Below are 20,182 nucleotides of genomic sequence, written 5' to 3' on the forward strand. Positions count from 1 at the left end.
CCAAGGGATCATCTAGTACAGAGGTTAAGAATGTGGCTATTGGAGCCAGGCTGCTTGGGCTCACAGCCTGACACCACTGCCTATTGCGCTCTGTGTCCCTTCAGGAGAGTCACCTGAACCTCTTGGGGCCTCGTTTTTCTCATTATAAAATGGAGATGAAGATAATAGTAATAATAAAATGTGGTTATCTAGTATTCAATAGTACAGTAGGAAAATTATAGTTAACCATAATCCATTGCATATTTCAAAATGCTAGAAGAATTGTAATGTTCCCAACACAAAGATAAATGTTTCAGATGATGGATAATCCCAGTTATGCTGATTTGACCATTATACATTGTATACATGTATCAAAGTATCACATGTACCCCCAAATATGCACAACTATTATATGTCAATAAAAATGTTTTAATGTGGTTAAGATTAAATTAAAAACACAAGTAAAGTACTTGGAACTGTGCTTGGCACATAGTAAGCACTTCACAAATGTGAGCTATTATTTTTATCATTTAAAAAAAATTCATATGAGAAAATCTAAAGGGAAGATGTTTACACAGGAACACAGACACACTCACATCCACACTTTGGACAAGATTTTGTGATCCAGCATCTAGGAATAAAATAAAACTTGTGATATTTTGACCATGGGCTATGAAATAATAGTCTGTGTTGATTTGTTAAAGTGACGCAAACCAGTCAGAGATGATTGAGTTGATTGATGACACTTTATTTCATTAAGTCTTCACAATCACCTTGTGGGGTAGATTTTATTATTATCCCCATTAAATAGATGAATAAACTGAGACTTAGAGAAGGTAAGTAATTTGCCCAAGGTTACTCAGCTGGAAGAAGTAGAGCCTGTTTAAAAACTCTGCTGGCCAGGCTCCTGCAGTCACACTCCTAACCATTTAAACAGAATGGGACAAAGGTGAGCATGGCGGAGATGACAAGGATTTGATGTCATGGTGATGACCTTGGCCAGTGTTCTGTCCTGTCAAAATTGATAAGCAGTTCCATGGAAAACTTTTGGAGGCATTCTCTCTGATAGGCCAAATAAGGCCTTAGTGGTTTTGTGTTCACATGCTGAGATAAAAGTATGAGCTCAATTACGTTAATTTAAAAATTATATATGCATATGCACACTGTGGGCCTGTCACTCCCAGTGGCCTATCTTGTCTTTGTAGCTGGGCTACCTGTTGGGAAGCCCAGCAAAAGGCAGCACAGAGCAGCTACCTGGCATGGGAACTTCAGTGAGAGGCGGGGAAGCCAAGTCCTCTGTCGTGCTTCCATGGCAGGACCTATGGCTGAGACTTTGTTCTGGCAGGTCACCACGGTGCGCTTCAGCTAAATGGCTCCACCAGAACAGTAAGATCTCATCAGTAAGATTGTTGTTGCAATAAGCCTTTGTCACAGAACACCCGTTCTATGAAGATACAGGTTGATTTAGCCCAGGGTAAATCTTAGAAAACATATTCTTATGTTTATTAAATGATAATGTTTAGTATTTGAAATTGTAAGTTGTTTGCAAATTGTAACAATTTACTAATAATATCATCTCTTTATGCAGCCCAAGTCAGAACCATGGCTCCAAAACAAAAGAAAAAGACATCACGTGGCAAAAAAAGACTAAAACCAGTATTAGCTGGTAGGAATATTTCTTCATTGAATGGGATTTTTTGTGGAGTATTTGTGTATATATTAGCAGCAAAATGATTATGGTTTTACATATCAAATGAAATAAAATATTTCTGTGACATAAAGTCAAATGTATGAGGAATAAGATATATGGAGATTCATTCTTACTTTTGACTAATTTCATTATGATACCAATTAGATGCGATATAATGAATGCTGTAGTAAACATGTCACTAAGAGATAACAGTGTGAAAGACAATTATTCAGATTTTCTCTGTTTAATTATTCACAAGATAGTTTAAGTCTTCATTGTATATTTGCACTTATATTTTGTGTTTTGAGGTTTGGTAAAGATTATAGTAAACTGGCTGGGCGCGGTGGTTCACGCCTGTAATCCCAGCACTTTGGGAGGCCGAGGCGGTTGGATCACGAGGTCAGGAGTTCGAGACCAGCCTGACCAACATGGTGAAACCCCGTCTCTACTAAAAATACACAAATTAGCCAGGCGTGGTGGCACGCGCCTGTAATCCCAGCTACTCAGGAGGCTGAGGCAGGAGAATCACTTGAACCCGGGAGGCAGAGGTTGCAATGAGCAGAGATCGCGCCACTGCACTCCAGCCTGGGCAACAGACTGAGACTCCATCTCAAAAAAAAAAAAAGAAAAATAAAAAAAAGATTGGCCGGGCACAGTGGCTCACGCCTGTAATCCCAGCACTTTGGGAGGCCAAGGTGGACGGATCACAAGGTCAGGAGATGGAGACCATCCTGGTTGACACGGTGAAACCCCGTCTCTACTAAAAATACAAAAAATTAGCCGGGTGTGGTGGCGGGCGCCTCTAGTCCCAGCTACTCGGGAGGCTGAGGCAGGAGAATGGCGTGAACCCAGGATGTGGTGCTTGCAGTGAGCTGAGATAGCGCCACTGCCCTCCAGCCTGGGCGACAGAGCAAGACTCCGTCTCAAAAAAAAAAAAAAAAAAAAGAAGAAATAAAAGATTATAATAAATTGAGATGTATTTGATTCAAAAATGTAAATTTGACTTCCTTTTATTATATTCTAGCTAGTGAAGACATGGAACCAGTAAATATGGAGAGCATGGGTAAGTGGAAATATAATTTACAACTTACATCCTCAGTTTTATAATATTTTAATAATGCAATAAGCAAGCAGGAATACTACAAACTGAAGTGATCAATCAAAATGTACATGGGCTAAAATTATACCATTCCATTTAGAATATAAAATGAAAAATTTTTAAAAGAAAAAATAGAAGTAGAGAATTTCAAACTGAGAAATAAACTTCAACCAAGCAGTTAGTTAAAAATGCATTATATGATTATTGAAAGGCCTTTTATAACTATAAAGTGTTATAAGCCTGCAACTTATGACTTTTATCAGATAAGTATTTTTTCAAACTTTTGCTCATAGGTAATATTTATCTGTACTTCACGCTAAGATGCCACTATTTCAAGGAAAGAGGCTGGTTTTTAAGCAAATAACTAGAACTTAGACAACTAAACTAATGTTGTTCCTACATGTAAAGGCTAAATAATCTTACAACAAGACTTCTTTTGGTGGGATGGAGGGGGAACCTCTCCCTTAGAGTTGACTTAGATGACACGCTTCACTTTTAGAAACAGAAAGGAGACAATGAGGGGGGCAAGGAGGAAGACCTAAAAGCCCTGTAGGCCACTGTAAAGATTTTGTCTTTTAATCGTATGGAATGAGGAAATATTGGTAGTATTTAAGCAAAGGGTGACTCCATCTGACATGTTTTTAAAGGGTCAGGTCATCCTGGCTACTGTGTAGCAAATTGCAGGAGCAAGGACTGAAGCAGAGAGACTAGTTAGGAAGTTTTTCCAACAATCCAGGGGAAAGATGGTGATGACCTGGGCCAGGGCAGTAGAGGGGGCAGAGGTGTGGAGTGTGGAGGTGGGGAGAAAGTGGGAGAATGTCAGCTAATGTAAGTGGCTCTGTTATCAGCACCCAGCACAGTGCCTGCAGCAGGATATGCTGCCCAATAAATATTTATTGAGTTAGTGAAACCTGGGAGTCATCTTTAATTTCTTTCTTTCTCTCCCTCCACACCTCCCTACCCCTTTCAAACCACCCCAACTTATGTGAATTCCACCTGTTTTAAAATATATCTCAAACCCATCTGCTTCATATTATCTTCCCACCTGCAACCTTAGTCCAAACCTCCGCACTCCTCACATCGGTTAGTTCCCAAGGCTCCTATTTGATATCACTGCTTCCACTCAGCCTCCTTCTGTCCATTTGGCGCACAGCAGCCCAACCATGCTTAAACTCCTCTTTCTTGCTTAAACTCCCCCATAGTCTTTCTTTGCCATTGGGCACAACTTGCAGTGGTCCTGGCTCCTGTGCTCAAGTGGTCCTGACCTTGTTTCCTCCTCCTCTTCGCCAACCTACAGCCCATCAGCCTTGCTTAGCACAGAATGTTCCAAATTTATTCCAGCCTCAGGGCCATTGCTTTTGCTGTCCCTGATGCATAGATAGATCTTCCCTTTATGCAACTTTCTCTTTCTTATCATTGAGATCTAGACTACCATCTCACTTCCTCAAGAGACTTTCCTTGACCTCTGTGTCACCTATTACCTTGTTTAATTGCTTTCATAGCACTTAAAATCCTGAAGTTAAAGTACAGTCAATTCTCGTTCGTGTATTCTATACAGTCCCTTTGAATACTGAATTAGCCAATACTGGACTATTGCTCCTAGGGGAAACACAGGGTTAGGTTCCTGTGAGCTTCTGTTCACATTTTCATTAACTAGTCAATACATAACCTTGTTTTATGTGTATTTCTGTTTAAAGACTCCTTATTTAATGTATATTGTTGATTCCTTAACACTGAACTCATGGCCAAATCATGGCAAACAGCACTATAACTCATTACTGAATAAATAAATGAGTGAATGAGTTGTGTTCCCTCTTGCTCCTATCTAAATAGACCACCACAGCTACCCTTCTTAGTTCCATCTCTCATCCTGTTTTCTCCCAGATAGCACTTATCACAATTTGTATTTACTTATTTTTGTTTTTTATTTATTTTCTTCTTTTTTTGTAGAGATGGGTTCTTGTTATGTTGCCCAGGCTGTCTTGAACTCCTGGGCTCAAGGGATCCTCTTGCCTTGGCCTCCCAAAGTGCTGGGATTACAGGTGTGAGCTACCATGCCCAGCCCAGTTTGTATCTATGAGTGTACTTCATTGTTTATTATCTGTCTCTCTGTCTAGATTGGATACCCTGGCACTAGCATCATGCTTTTCACATAGTGGGTGCTCAGTAAATATTTCTTAACTAAATGAATTGACTGGTAAGAAAATCTATGAACCTGATAAAGGGGCACAGTTTGAGATGTATTCATTGAAAGTAAATGAACTGAAAAATAGGAATATGTTTGCTTAAGGGAAAGAAAAAACCAACCTCAGAACATTATGGTGAGACAAGTGTAGGTTTTGAGTTAGCATCCCCTTCTCCTCAAGCCTCTTTCTACCCCCAGACTCCCCTCAGGTAGCATCAGGACCCCTCTGACTTCCTCATGGTGGGCCCTGACCTTGCCAACTGTTAATCAGGGCTGATGGCTGTCATGCTCCAAGAAACTGAGATCCCTTTTTCTAACAAGGAGCCAAGGTATCAATAGGCTAACTAAAAAACTGTCAGTCCTAAGGGCCTAACAAGGCAATGCCCAGAGGTTTCTGGAGAATAAATATAATTTTTACACATAGCTAATATTTGTGGAGCAATGACTTTCTGCCAGGCCCACTCTTCTTATTGCCTTAGCTCTATAAAGTAGGCATTATCAAGGCCATTACAGACATGAAGGTGCTGTGACTCCCGAATGTTAAATAATTTACCCAAATTATAATACGAGTTAGTGGTATATGAGTTGCCTATTGCTGCTGTAACAAATTGCCACAAACTTAGTGGCTTAAACAATATAAATGTATCATTTAACAGTTCTGGAAATCAGGAGTCTGAAATTACTTTCACCAGGCTAATGTCAAGGTGTCAGCAGGGCTGATTATCGCTGGAGGCCCTGAGAGGTGAATATGTTTCCTTGCCTTTTTCAGCTTCTAGAGGCCACTGTATTTATTGACTCCTGGCCCCTTCCTTCCTCTTCACAGCCAGCAGCATAGCATCTTTGAGTCATTCTCTATGACCTCTGTTTCCCTTGTCACATCTCCTTCCTTGACTTTGATCCTCCTGTCACCATCTTATAAGGCCCCTTGGGATTACACTGGGCCAATGTCAAAGGCCCAGTCATCTCCCCACCTCAAAATCCTTAACCTTCAGTATCTGGGATAAATGTTTTAAAAAATGAAAAATAAATAAATAAATAAAAAGAACATAAAAACAAAAACAACAAAAAGTAGAGATCCGTAACATAATTATATCCACAAATCCCTTTTCTTATGTAAGGTAACAATACAGAAGTGCATTAGTCTGTTCACATGCTTCTAATAAAGACATACCTGAGACTGGATAATTTATTTGAAAAAAGAGGTTTAATTGACTCACAGTTCTACATGGCTGGGGAGGCTTCACAATCACAGTGGAAGGTGAATGAGGAGCAAAGTCACATCTTACACGGCAGCAGGCAAGAGAGCGTGTGTAGGAAAACTTCCCTTTATAAAACCATCAGGTCTCATGAGACTTATTCACTATCATGAGAACAGCACGGGAAAGACCTGCCCCCATGATTCAATTACCTCCCACTACACATGGGAGTTATTCAAGATGAGATTTGGGTGGGGACACAGCAAAACCATATTAACAAGTTTCAGGAATTAGGACATGAACATATTAGGGGGACATTATTCTGTTTGCCAGAAGTGGTTAATAGCACAGGCTTTGGAATTAGGCAGACCTGGTTTAAGTCATAAACTTATGACTTAAAGTCATTTAGTGACTGTGTGGCCACAGATGACTTCACCTTCCTGAGCCTCTGCTTCTTCATCTGAAAAGCAAGATAGACTATCTACCTCATAAGACTGATGTGGAAATTAAATTAGTAGTACATGCACATTTCCTTACATAGGGCTGTCACAAAGTAGGTTCATGTTAACTCTTTTTACTATAAAAAGATACTATAAAGACAGATAAGTAGATCAATGCATGAGAATAGAGTCCAAAAATAGACCACATGTGCATGGTCAATTGATTTTCATCAAAGATGCAAAGATAATTCAGTGGAGAAGGGATAGTCTTTTCAACAAATGATGCTGGAACAGTTAGATAGCTGTAAGTAAGAAAGTGAACTCAATCCATACCTCACACCATACACAAAAATTAACTCAAAAGGAATCATAGACCTAAAGGTAAAACCAAATATTCTAAAACTTCTAGAAGAAAACAGGAGAAAATCTTTGTGACCTTGGAGTTGGCAAAGATTTCCCAGATATGACACCCACAGCCAAAATCCCAAGAAATCTTAAAGCTTTCTTAAGATTTTCTTTTTTAAAATCTTAAAGATTTTTTTCTTTTATGGAATACTTGCCAGCAATGGAATGAACCATTGCTACGTTCAACAATATGAATGAATCTCAAAATAGTTATGCTAAGAAGATAAACAAAAAGAGTACATTTATAAATATTCCAGAAAAAAGCAAACTAATCTATAGTGACAAGAAAACAGCTTAGTGGTTACTTGGGGTTACTTAGGGATGAAGGAGGTGTATTGGAAGGCAGGGGCAGGAGGAAACATTTGGGTCTTATGGGTATGTACTTTATCTTGATTGTGGTAATGGCTTCATGGGGTATGTGCATATATTTATCAACTTGTACATATTGTATGCAGTTTATCGTTTGTCAATTATAACTCAGCAAAGCTGTTTTTAAAAAACTAGATAGCAACCAAAATGTTAAAAAAAAAAAAGAATGTACAATTGAAATGTATGAGAGTTGTTTTAAACAACGCTCATTATGTAGGATAATATATGTGTAACCTATGATTTATATTGCATAGCCTTCTATTGTGTGCACATAGTAAGATTCTGAGGCATGAATTGTGTAGAGCTTGAGTCTGCCTTTGGTTCCTGCTAGGTGAATAACTGCCATTCACTGGATCCTATGGAACATCATCTCTGTTCCCTCCTTGTCTATGTGTAGAGAAGCAGGACCCTCTCCATGGATCTTCTGTGTCCACTCATTAGAGAGAAAGCATAGCATAGTTGAGTTCAGGGATCTTGGTTTTGATCCCAGTACCACCACTTTCAACTTCCAGAGGCTGACCTTGGACATGTTATTGAACTCTGTGGTCCTCAGTTTTCTCAGCTAAAAAATGGAGACAAATATAGTAACCACCTCTGAATGTTGTTGTGAAGACTAAATGAGTTAATAATACACATAAAGTGCTTAAAACTGTGCCTGGAGCAGTAGGTGCACCATGGAAGTGCCCTCGCAGACATTGTCCTTGTGATTGGCACTCCTGACTTCAGTCAGCTTCAGAAGGCCCTGAAGGCCTCCTCCTCTGCACCAACACTTGTTTTACACTCCTTGGAGCAACCAGCCTCCCACTCTGCTGGAGGCTCCAGGGAGCCCATCTCATTGCTGATCACAGTGGCCTCATTGCTGTAGCCTATGGTGCTGTTCTCAGTGTGTGCCTCAAAGCCTACCCAATAGCAGTTGTTTTACAGTATTTGGCTGGTGACCCTTTGGGGTGGCCAGAAGCATCAGGCCTTGCCCTGGTTAGTTTAGTTCTCATGGCAATGGAGCATGATGGTACTGGACTATAGCAGTTTTGTGTGATCTGTTGGCTGCCAGTTATCTGCAGTTATCACTGTTTGCCAACTCGAAGCAGAAACAGTCCACTAGTTTTACTGACTTCTAGATAAAGGAATGTTAGATCCTATATTAGAGTTGCCTTGAAAAAGTCCAATTAGTGTGAAAGGATCATTTTTTGTGTGTGAAAAATATCAAGCCAGTAGAATTCGAAGTGTGTGTTTAGTAGGGGCAGATAACATAGAAAACAATCTTTGATGCTGTCTTTCCAGTGTCAAGGATGATAAAAAGCTTTCTGGTCTTCTGAATGCCTCTGTTTTATTAGGGACAGCTGCCTTCTTTTCGGCACTAGCACAGTGTGAGTCTCACAGTCCCACCTAGTGGTTTTCTCAGACAAAACTACAGAACTTTTGTTACCCATTCAACACTACAAATGCAGTCTGTTTGCAGAGGAGTACTTGATTCGAATCAAGTCAACAGTTACTTATTGAGCATCTTATAAGTGCCAGGTGTTATGGTTAGTCTTTTGAGGGAGATAAAAGTGTATAATTTGTCCTTCACTCATGAACAACTTGAATTCCCAATGTTATGCCAACTGACTGCAGTTTGAAATATGCTTCTGCATATAATCAGTGTTATGCATACAGTTATTTAAAACCTCCAAATTACCTGAATTATTGTATCATAGAGCCCCTGGGGTGGGGGAAAATATTTCTATTGGAAAATAAGCTCAAAATTCCAACATGAGAGGCCACATACACTTTCCCCCTTGCTGGCACATCTATTGAGAAGTTGGAGGGAGGATGGCCTGACATCCAGGGGCGTGGGTGCTAGAGGAGATGGGAGTGGACCCTGGGAGTTGGGGAGAGAGTCCTGGGGACAGATGCAGAGCTGAGACTGTTGTGGCTGATGATAGTGATATGAAGGATAAAAAAACAGGAAGAAGGCTTGAGAGAGGGGAGGGCAGCAGGCAAAATTCTCCTTTGTCCTCTAGCGTCCACCCTCCCAGGGCATGCTGCTGCTGAGGACTGGCCTGAGGCGCAAAGAAGGGATGGGAAGACCAGGGATGGAAGCCTCTTGAACCTCTCCTCTCTCCTGAGAGCAATACTGGGACTGGCAGCCAGATGGGAGGAAAGGGATTCCCTACCCACTTTCCTGTGTCCAAGGGTTTATTAATACAACCAACTGAGAAGCCACTATTTGAAAAATGTGAGGAATTGAGTAACAGTAAGTTTGACTGTGAAAAAGAGAAGCCCTAAAGAGCAGAGATCCCTATATAGGCTCAAGGGAAAGTTTCTTTTCTTTTTCTTTTTCTTTTTTTTTTTTTTTTTTTTTTTGAGACAGAGTCTCCCTCTGTTGTCCAGGCTGGGGTGCAGTGGTGTGATCTCTGCTCACTGCAACCTCCACCTCCCAGGTTAACACCATTCTCCTGCCTCAGCCTCCCGAGTAGCTGGGACTACAGGCGCGTGCCACCATGCCTGGCTAATTTTTTGTATTTTTAGTAGAGATGGGGTTTCACTGTATTAGCCAGGATGGTCTCGATCTCCTGACCTCGTGATCCGCCTGCCTCGAGCAGGTGTCAGCCACCGCGCCCAGCTTTAAGGGAAGGTTTCTTTAAAATGAGAGACCATTGAGCAAATCTGCATGCTGAGGGAAAGCAGCATGGAAGAAAGAAAAGCTGAAAGGAAAGGAATAGTTGAATGGATGCTGGTGGCTGAGGAGGGCAGGTCCTCTGAGTGCATAAGGGCAGAAAGGTGGTGCCCATTTTGATTAGCAGGTGGGCAGGGCTGCAGGACCTGGCAGGATTCTGTGCTATTCAGACCCTGTTTTCTCTGTGAAATAAAAAGCCAGTCACCTGGTAAGAGAGAGCAGCAGGGGAGAGGGTGAGGTTGGGGTGTTTTAGAAAAGTAATACAGGCTGAAAGCCTAAACAAGTGGTCATACCTTCCAACAAATAATTTCACTTTTTAAATCTATCCCAAGAAAATAATTTGAAATGCAATAAAAATTTATAACTAGATATTTGTTTGTAGGATTATTTACAATAATTGGAAACAAGCAAGAAAAGAAATTAGAATGCTTACCAATACGAGAATGGTTTAAAATTATGCTATAGAATTCAATTCATCTAAAATTATGTTTTAGACAGATACTTAGTGTCATTGTAAAATACTTGTGACATAATGGTAAATATTAAAAGCAGTATTTAGAAGTTCATATGAGGTATATATGGAATGACTAGAAGAAAATAAAACAAAATATTAATAGAGGTTTTTCTTCTTGAGAGGTAGTATTATGGGCCATTGTTATTTTCTTCTTTTTTAAAAATGTTTTTGGCATTTAAAAAATAATGGATATATTTACTTTAAATACAGGAATAATAATTTTAAAGTCTTAAAATTTAACCAAGATAATTATTAAAACCAAGCGATTGCATGTTTTCTAATGCTAATATTTTAAGTGGTCATATTTAATGTCCAAATTCCACTTTGTCTTTCCTAGGTCATCCAGAAATTTATCCTTTAGTATTAACCACCAAGACCCAAGAAATATTTAACTGCCGAATAGATGAAGATGTCACAGATGAACAACCTTATAAGCTTATCAATAAAGAAGACATTTTTGAGGACCTGCGCAACAGAGCTGCAGTATCTGATTTCCACCCAGTCAAAAAAATTGTCCAGGTAAGCACAATATCCCTATTTATTTTCAGTCCTACCTCAAGAAGTTCCTGGTACATAATAACAAAAGTTGGAGAGGTTGTTGGTTCAAATCTGGCCCCATTGCTTTGGGCAAGTGCTAGCTTGCCCACCCCTCCTTGGGAATCCTGTTTGATGATCCTCTGTGAAAAGCAAAGTTCCATCAATGACTTGTTATCTAATCCCACACCCAGAAAAGCTCATCCTTGCCCAGTTTTTGTTTTGTTTTGTTTTGTTTTTTGAGGCAGGGTTTCACTCCTGTCTCCCAGGCTAGAGACGCAATCATGGCGCACTGCAACCTCCGCCTCCCAGGTTCAAGCAATCCTCCCGTTTCAGCCTCCTGAGTAACTGGGACCACAGGCACAGGCATGCCCAACTGATTTTTGTTTTTATAGAGACAGGGTTTTGCCATGTTGCTCAAGCTGGTCTCAAACTCCTGAGCTCAAGTGATCTTCCCGCCTTGGCCTTCCAAAATGCTGGGATTGCAGGCATCAGCCACCGTGCTCCGCCTTTGCCCAGTTTTAACTAGAATATGAATCTATCCTTATTTTCTGCTTTAATTGTTTAATTCATAATTTTGGTTCTGATTTATCTCTATGCATGCTACAGAGCACAATACCAAACAAAAACTGCTTCTTTTTTCCTGTTAGAAGTAAAAGTGCATGTACATTTCCCTGGATGCATTATGTTTTTAAGAGCTTTTTAAAGTTAATAAAATAATTTTGCAATTTGGTGTTATCAGCCATAGATTAGCACAATGGTTATCTTCTATAATTGGTTGATTAGCGAAATGTGAATTTTGTGTTGGCATCAAAATAAACTGAATGACCATTGAACATTAACTTCCTATCTCAATTATATTCTTGTAGGAATATCCTGGAAATGAGCTTCTGCTTGTTTATGACAAAGACTTCAAATATGGACTTAACTTTTATCTTATTGCAACTGAAGAGGGCAAAGAAAACTATTTAAATGTGAGCAAACCCCAAGCCCTTGTAATTTGTTTGTTTTTGTTGTGGTTGTGGTTGTTTTTGAGATAGGCTCTTGCTCTGTCACCCAGGCTAGAGTGCAGTGGCACAATCATGGTCACTGCAACGTCAATCTCCCAGGCCCAAGTGATCCTCCCACCTCAGCCCCCCAAGTAGCTGAGACTACAGGCGTGCACCACCACGTCAAGCTAATTTTGTTTATTTTTTGTGGAGATGAGGTCTCATATGTTGCCCAGGCTGGGCAATTTGTTGATTAGCAGAAGGAAGCAGAAGCGGTACCTCTGCGGGGATCCCTATACATAGTGATGATTATTCTTGTTCAGCTCTGTTTCTTTGGGACCCAGATCGGGTTCTGGCACCTAGAATATGTAAGCAGTAAATGGGGGATGAACTAAATCAAGTATCTCAGGGTAGCAGATTTGCCCTTCGTTGACCTCGTGAGAGAGGAAACAGTGAATCTGGAGTACCGCTTTCCTTGTTCTCTTCTTGCCGTCTCCACAACTTTGAGTAAGTTACTGAGCCTCTCATTGGTAAAATGGTGGCACCATTATTGCACATTTCCAGGGCTTTCATGAGGATTCATATAGGTAAAGCCCTTTGTTCAAGGTGGGTAAGAAAGGTAACAGATGTATGAGACTCTCTTTCCAATCTTCCATTCCTGTTTGGTAAAATTGAAGGAAGCAATTTGGGAGGTTTGTTTAAATTGTTTGAGGATGACAGAGAGGTTTGTGTGGCTGTCCAATAAGCAATAAGAATAAAGGGAAACCATATAATTAAAAAAATATCTAGGCTGGGCACAGTGGCTCATGCCTGTAATCCCAGCACTTCGGGAGGCTGAGGCGGGATCACTTGAGGCCAGAAGTTCCAGATGAGCCTGGGTAACATGGCAAGACCCTGCCACCGCAAAAAATAAAAATATTAGCCAGGCATGGTAGCACGTGCCTGTAGTCCCAGCTACTTGGGAGGCTGAGATGGGTGGATCACTTGGGCCGGAAAGGTGGAGGTTGCAGTGAGCCATGATCATGCCCCTGCACTCCAGCCTGGGTGACAGAGTGAGACCCTGTCTCAAAAAGAAAAAAAAATAAAATAAAAGCTAACAGTTTATAATTAAAAATCATCTTTCATTTAGCCTTAACATTTTCAATTTTATTTTTATGATTGTTGTTCTGTTTTTAATTTTTTATTGTAATGAAATATTTTAAATGTTTAGAAAAAACTACAGAGTAGTATAACAAATATCTACACTTAATTATCCAGAATTTTAAAATATTAATTTTTATTATATTTACTTTAAAACTTTTTTAACAAAAGAAATAAATATTACAGACAATATTCCACTCCCTCTCGTATCCTCCCTAATTCCATTTTCTTTACTCCTCCCTATAAGGAACCATTATTCTAAATTGTTACATATTGTTCTTGTCTGTGGTTTTACACTTTACCATATATTTATGTTCTACAATAATGGATCTTATAGTCTTATTAACTTAACATTCACATAAAAATTGTGTCATTTTTATACTCAGTCTGCAACTTCATTTTTCACCAAATTATAAAATTCTAGGATCTATCAATATCAGTACATTTAGATACCATATATATGTAGGTCAAATTTGTTCATTATAACTGCTCTATGGAATTTTATTTTATGGTTTTACCACACTGTCATCAATCCATTCCTCTATTGATATTCATTTGGTTGATTTTTTTTTTTTTACTATTACAAATAAAGCAGCAGTGTGTGTATATATATATGTGTGTGTGTGTGTATATATACACATCTATATGTAGAGATGTGTATATATATGTGTATATATATATCAGCAGTGTGTATATATATATATATATATATATATATACACATCCATATGTAGAGATGTGTATATATATCTTTTCTTGTCTACTGTCTTTTTCTTCTTTCTATATGCTTGATACCTCTTTTTTCTTTTTCCCTTTTTTGCTTTGTTTCCTTTTCATAATTCAAAAGTGTGAATTGACAAAAAAAAGTAAAAAGGTGCTTAATGAATTTATATAAAAGTAAAGTTTGTTGCAAAATATATATATATATATAAAGCTATAACCTAAACTTGGGCATACATTGTAGAATGCTATTTATTTTACTTTAGCCCCCAGAAGTACCAGAAGAACAAGAAGAATATAAAGAACATATTCCTGAAGATGTGTATATTTATAAACCACCTGTCTCTAAACCATGGGTTTCTTTGGGCAGTGAAAAAGAAATTGAGGAAGAATCAGTTACGGAATCTACAAAGCAGGTTAGAGGGTTATATATGATCTGTAATCATTACCTCCCTGTAGCTGAACAACACTTATTCCTGAGGGATTCATAAGGTTTACTGTGTTTGCTATGGAGGCATAGTTTTTGGTGTGTTGTTTTGGTTTGCTTTTATAGAAGAATGGTCATTGTCTTAAGTGGGTGTTATGAGTTGAATTTTGTCTCCAAAAAATGGTATGTTGAACTTCTAACCTCCAGCACCTCAGAATGTGATTCTATCTGAAAATAGGGTCATTGCAGGTATAGCTATTTAAGATGAGGTCATACTGGAGTAGGGTAGGTCCCTAATCCAATACAACTGGTGTCCTTGTGATAAGATGGCCATGGGATGACAAAGAGACACAGGGAGAATGGCATGTAAAGAAGCAGGCAGAGACTGGAAAGATGGATACACAAACCAAGGAACACAAGGATTGCTGGCTGTCACCAGAAGTCAGGACAGAAACAGGGAACAGATTCTCCCTCAGAGCCTTCAGAAGGAAACAACCCTCAAACACATCAATTTCAAACTTCTAGCCTCCACAACTGTAAGAGAATAAGTTTCTGTTGTTTTAGGCCACCCCATTTGTAGTACTTGGTTATGGCAGCTGTAGGAAGCTAATATAGTGGCATTCCCTCTCAAAGGAACTCCTGTGAGGGGGAATTGTGTATGAGTGGTTTATTAGGAAAGTGCCCCAGAAGAGAACATGACAAGCGCTGAACAGGGATATGGAGGAAGGCCTGCCAGGCTGCACTCTCAGGCAAAAGTCTGCAGAGGGAAGGCTTCAGCCAAACCCAAAGAGGTACTCTGAGTGTAAATTATACCTCAGAGTTGTCCCACACAGAAGCCAAGGAGAGGGGTTTATGTATCCCTCCTGCCAGTCCACCATTAGTCAAGATGAAACTGCCAGTTACTTCCTGTTCTTTGCACCTGCTGGCAAAGTGGTCCCAATAGCCCTAGAGCAGCCCTCCAAAGAGGAGGAGCGGGTGCTGCTCATGTGAATGGAAAGCATGCAGAGCTGGAGGTGCTCACAGAAAGTGCACAAAGGGCTCTGAGTGGATCTGAGCAGAGTACCAACATTGCCTACACATCAGGGACTTCATTATGTTACCTTTACTGTTTACATGTGTTACAGATTACATATATGATTTCTCGAAAACGAAGTGAATTTGGTGCACCAATTAAGTTCAGTGACCAGAATGCTTCCAGTGTAAAAGATGCCTATATTGAATGTACAGCCTACCCAGATAAAAATTTTACCCTTAAACAACTTGAAAAAGATGTTGGCATGCAAGTAATCCCCCAAATAAAGGACATAAGCACTCAGACAAAATGGTAAGTATGTGATGGGTGTATGTAATTTTATAGCCAGTTACAGTAAAATCTAGTAACTTCCATTATTATTTTGAGAGCTCTTTATAATAAATAGAAATGGATTAATGATGATGACACATAGATCTCCACAGAGTAATTCAATTCAGGAAGATCTAATTATATTCAATAATGCCTTTAAAAATCATAACAGGAAAATGAGATAGAAGTATGGAAGATTGTAAAGACTGGAGTGGGAAAATGAGTGATGCTGTTTATCATGACAGTGCTGGTCATCTCTCATCTGGCATATTACCATGCCCCTCATTGCTCTGTTCTACTACCTAAGTCATCATTCTTAAACATCAAATCAGATGGTGTTACTTCATTGTCTAGGTTTCTTCTTTGGCTTTCATCACTTAAAAAATACATCCATCCAGAGCCCTTAGGATGGCATATGAGGTTCTCCTTCCTCTATGACGAGGAACTGTCTGCCTCTCCAGTCCCATCATCCCTTGTTCCTAAACAAGCTCTCTGTGTGCCAGCCCTATGAGTTGCTTCCAGTTCCCAGAATACCTGCGGTTCCACCTCCTCCTGCCATTGCCCATGCTGAATCTTCCTCCTCTCAGTAAGTGGTAATGATATTGTTCTAATTACTCAGACCAAAAGCCTTGGATTTTGTTGGGTCTATCTTCAAAATTTACCCACTGCTATTACCTTAGACCATTCATCATCATCTCCTGCTTGGATTACTGTAATTCCTTCTAAGTGGGCTTCCTCTAGCCATCCTTTCTCTCCTGCATTCAGTTCTCCATAGAGAAGCCCTGGTAATCCTATTAAAATGCAAGTCAGATCATGTCACTGATCAAAACCTTCCAATGGCCTGTCATCCCAAATGAACCTACAAGGCTTCATATGATCTAGATCCCTTTACCCCTCTGCCCTAATCTCCCACAGTTCTCCCTGCTCATCCATCCAGCCACACTGGCTTCCTCATTCCTTGATTCACCACGCATACTCATACCTGATGTGTTTAAGCTTACGAGTCCTTTACATAGAATGCTCTTCCCTTGTGCTTATCCCCTCCTTCATTCAGATCTCTGCTCAAATGAGGTGTTCCCTGACACTCCTATATAAAAGCAACAACTTGGCCGGGCACCGTGACTCACGCCTTTAATCCCAGCACTTTGGGAGGCTGAGGTGGGCTGATCACGAGGTCAAGAGATCGAGACCATCCTGGCCAACACGGTGAAACCCCGTCTTTACTAAAAATACGCAAATTAGCCAGGCGTGGTGACGTGTGCCTGTAATCCCAGCTACTTGGGAGGCTGAGACAGGAGAATTGCTTGAACCCGCGAGGTAGAGGTTGCAGTGAGCCAAGATAGTGCCACTGCACTCCAGCCTGGTGATAGAGCTAGACTCCATCTCAAAAAAAAAAAAAAAAAAAAAAAAAGAAAGAAAGAAAAAAAAAGGCAACAACTCCATTACCATCTATCCCCTTACTCTATTTTTCTCCACTGTGCCATAATCACTTGATTTGTGTTTTTCGTCATCTCTCTTCTCTTCACTCTGCCCTTGGAATTTAAGCTCTATGAGATAAAAACTTTGTATATTTTGTTTACTGCTATGTTCCCAACTCCTAGGACAGTTCCTGGCATATATTTATTAAATGGAGGGGAAAAAAGAATGGAGGAGGGAAAACAGGAAGAAAAGGATGTAGGTAAGGAAGAATGTGCAGAATGATGACAGACTTGAATTCAGTGTTAAGTGAAGAGCTATGAAATACACAGTGAGACAAGTCATGACCAGGAGAATCAGGGCTCAGCACCATGGAATGCAATACAGAAGATACTTTTCAGATCTATGTGAACTAACAGGTTAAAAACCATGAAAGTGCAATGTTAAAGTCAGGGCATATATATATATGGACTCCAAAAGTTGGGCCAAGAAATGAGTCAGAAACAAGAGAAGAAGATGAACAGACAGGCCAAAACAAGAGGCGGTAAAGAGAAAGGCAAGAATTGGTGGTCAAGTCCTGGCAGGGAAGGAGGACATCAGACATCCATAAATATCAAGAAGTGAGGGCAAGAGAGGAAGGAGAGAGGTGATATATTAGTACCAAATGAACTTGAATTTTGAGACAAATTTCTAAGTCAAGCCAGCCAGAGATTTATTTTATGTTCCTACTAGGGTACAGACAAGTACCAAGAATGAGTCAGCCAGGGTAGACTCAGTAGGTAGACTCAGAATACAGACTAATAATAATAATATTGGCAGTGTTCCTACATAGAGGGAGTAAACAGATGAGAAATAAGGGCAGGTCTTGACCCACAAAATGAAAAAACAATTTTTTCAAAGAATTAAAAGGAACTCAAGTGGTTTAAACCTAGGTGACTGGGAGAATGCTGGTACCATGCATTACAAGCAGGAAATTGGGAAGGGTAGCTGGTATGAGGTAGAGAAAGTAGGATATGTGATTATATTGGAGGGAGTCAAGAAAAATCAAAGATGAAGTTCAAAGAATAATGACAGTGAAAGCAAATGCCTAGTGTTCCCACCACATACCAGGCATTCTTCTAAGTGCTTTACACACATCAATTCAATCCTCACAAGTGCTCTCTGAGGTAGGCACTATCCCCATTTTACAAATAGAGAAACTGAAGCAAAGAGAGGTTAAAAATGAAAGCCCAATGTTTCGGGCATAATTTAAACTTGAAGCAATAATGAATGGTTTTGCTGAAAAACAACAAAACAAATCATATTTCGAAAGTAAGAGTGACTCTTAGGCATGTTGCTACTTTGATAAAACCACCAAGCAATATATCATTTTGTTTTTTTTTTACTTAACCCTGTCTAGAGAGCAGAAATTAAAAGGTGAAGCTGAGAATTGAACCCAAGTCTCTCTGGTTCCAATACTAATATTATTTCTTTCTACCACTCTGCCTTCTGCTATGGATACTGACCTAAACAAGGAAAAAAAATGAATTATTCTAAAAACTCCCTTTACCCCTTTGTCTGATTACTCTCCATTTAATATATTACCTCTCACAGAGACATTCTGCATTGTGCTGACATTTGTTCAACAAACACAAATACTACATAATATTTTGTTGATCATTTAAAATGTGCTAGGCACTGTTTTTAAAGTTTTGCATGTATCAACACATTCAATCCTTACAATGACACTATGAACTAGCTACTTGAATAATTTCATTTAGAGATGAGAACACAGGCACAGAAGGTTAGATAATTGGCTCAGGGGTCATATAGCTAGTAAATGATAGAACCAGGCTTCAAAGCCAGGCAGCCAATCACCAGAATCCACACTCTTAATGATTGTGCCCTGTGACTTTTCCAAGCTCTACATGCCAAGATCAAGGGCTCACCCAGTCTAATACTTGAGATTGATAAAGCCCAGAGGTACAATGCCATATGAGGTGTTCACATACAGAGGCCACTAAGAGCATACTAGATGGAGCAAGACTTCCTGCCACCATCACTGCTGAAATGTATCTTATTCCTAGTTTTGTATGTTTAGAGCAGAGTTTCTCAACTTCAACAAATTGACATTTGGGGCTGGATAATTCTCTTTGAGGGAAGGCTGTCTTGTGCTTTGTAGGGTTTTTAACAGCATCCCTGGGATCTATTCACTAGACACCAGTAGCATGTCTAGGTTGTGACAACCAAAAATGTTTCTAGACATTGCCAAATGTCCCATGAGGGGGTGAGGTGGACACTGACTTAGTGAAATGAAGAGAGAGAGAAAACAATAAAGATGGCAAAATGTTAATAATTGACGAATCTGGGTGAAGGGTGTGTGGGAATTCCTTATACCCTTCTTATAACTTTTCTATAAGTTTGAAATGATTTCTAGGTAAAAATTTTACAAAAATAAGATTTTTTTGATTATGTTGGAGAGAAATTCATGTAGCCTTTGAATAGTGGTCAATATCAGTTGTCTAGGATAAAGAAAATTCAATGTATATAATTTAAATATAAAATAATATCCTAACATCATTGTCACAGAGACACACTTTTGACCTGTTGTGGCCCATATTTGCTCTTCTTTGACCTAATCTTTAGTATTGAATTTTCTTTTAATATATTAGGACATATCCTAAAAATGCTACTACGCAATATTATCCAAGAGAATTCTCAGAAGAGGAAAAAGAGACACTCAAACAATCAAAGCCTTTGGTTGATTTTCTTAACAATGCATCCATAAGGTAAAAAATTGCATATTAAATTTTAAAAATAAAACATAAAATGTATATGTTTACATAGAATAACAGGTCTAAATAAACAATTCCATATAGGGTATCTAGATAAAAAGTATGAAGACAGTTGTCAGTGTGACACATTCTACAGATTCTCAATATTTATTTCCTTTCTATTGCTAAGCAACATCTTAGCCCTATCAAGCTAAGGCCACATCAAACTGTGTGAGGAGTTGAGTGTGTGAGGATGTTTTCCTAATTGCAGATTAACATTTACTTGTATTTACCATGGTTACTTTTACGTAATTCTTTTTCTCCA

At 39.4% G+C, this 20,182-nt stretch overlaps 1 protein-coding gene across 3 annotated transcripts in view; it reads left to right on the forward strand.

The window, feature by feature from the left end:
- The window catches only part of DNAI3 (dynein axonemal intermediate chain 3), a 70,812-nt gene that overhangs the window by 8,034 nt on the left and 42,596 nt on the right, over positions 1-20,182 (forward strand). For 2 of the 3 annotated variants that reach the window (NM_145172.5, XM_047444741.1), the window contains exons 2-8: positions 1,568-1,645; positions 2,694-2,732; positions 10,874-11,055; positions 11,940-12,044; positions 14,186-14,335; positions 15,471-15,670; positions 19,756-19,872. In NM_145172.5, coding sequence (NP_660155.2) covers positions 1,582-1,645; positions 2,694-2,732; positions 10,874-11,055; positions 11,940-12,044; positions 14,186-14,335; positions 15,471-15,670; positions 19,756-19,872 — 857 coding nt within the window. In that variant the 5' untranslated portion in view covers positions 1,568-1,581. The remainder of the gene's footprint in view (positions 1-1,567; positions 1,646-2,693; positions 2,733-10,873; positions 11,056-11,939; positions 12,045-14,185; positions 14,336-15,470; positions 15,671-19,755; positions 19,873-20,182) is intronic. The other variant, NM_001288563.2, reaches the window with a different exon arrangement.

The sequence above is a fragment of the Homo sapiens genome, chromosome 1 (assembly GCF_000001405.40).
Source record: "Homo sapiens chromosome 1, GRCh38.p14 Primary Assembly".
NCBI classification, from domain to species: Eukaryota; Metazoa; Chordata; class Mammalia; order Primates; family Hominidae; genus Homo; species Homo sapiens.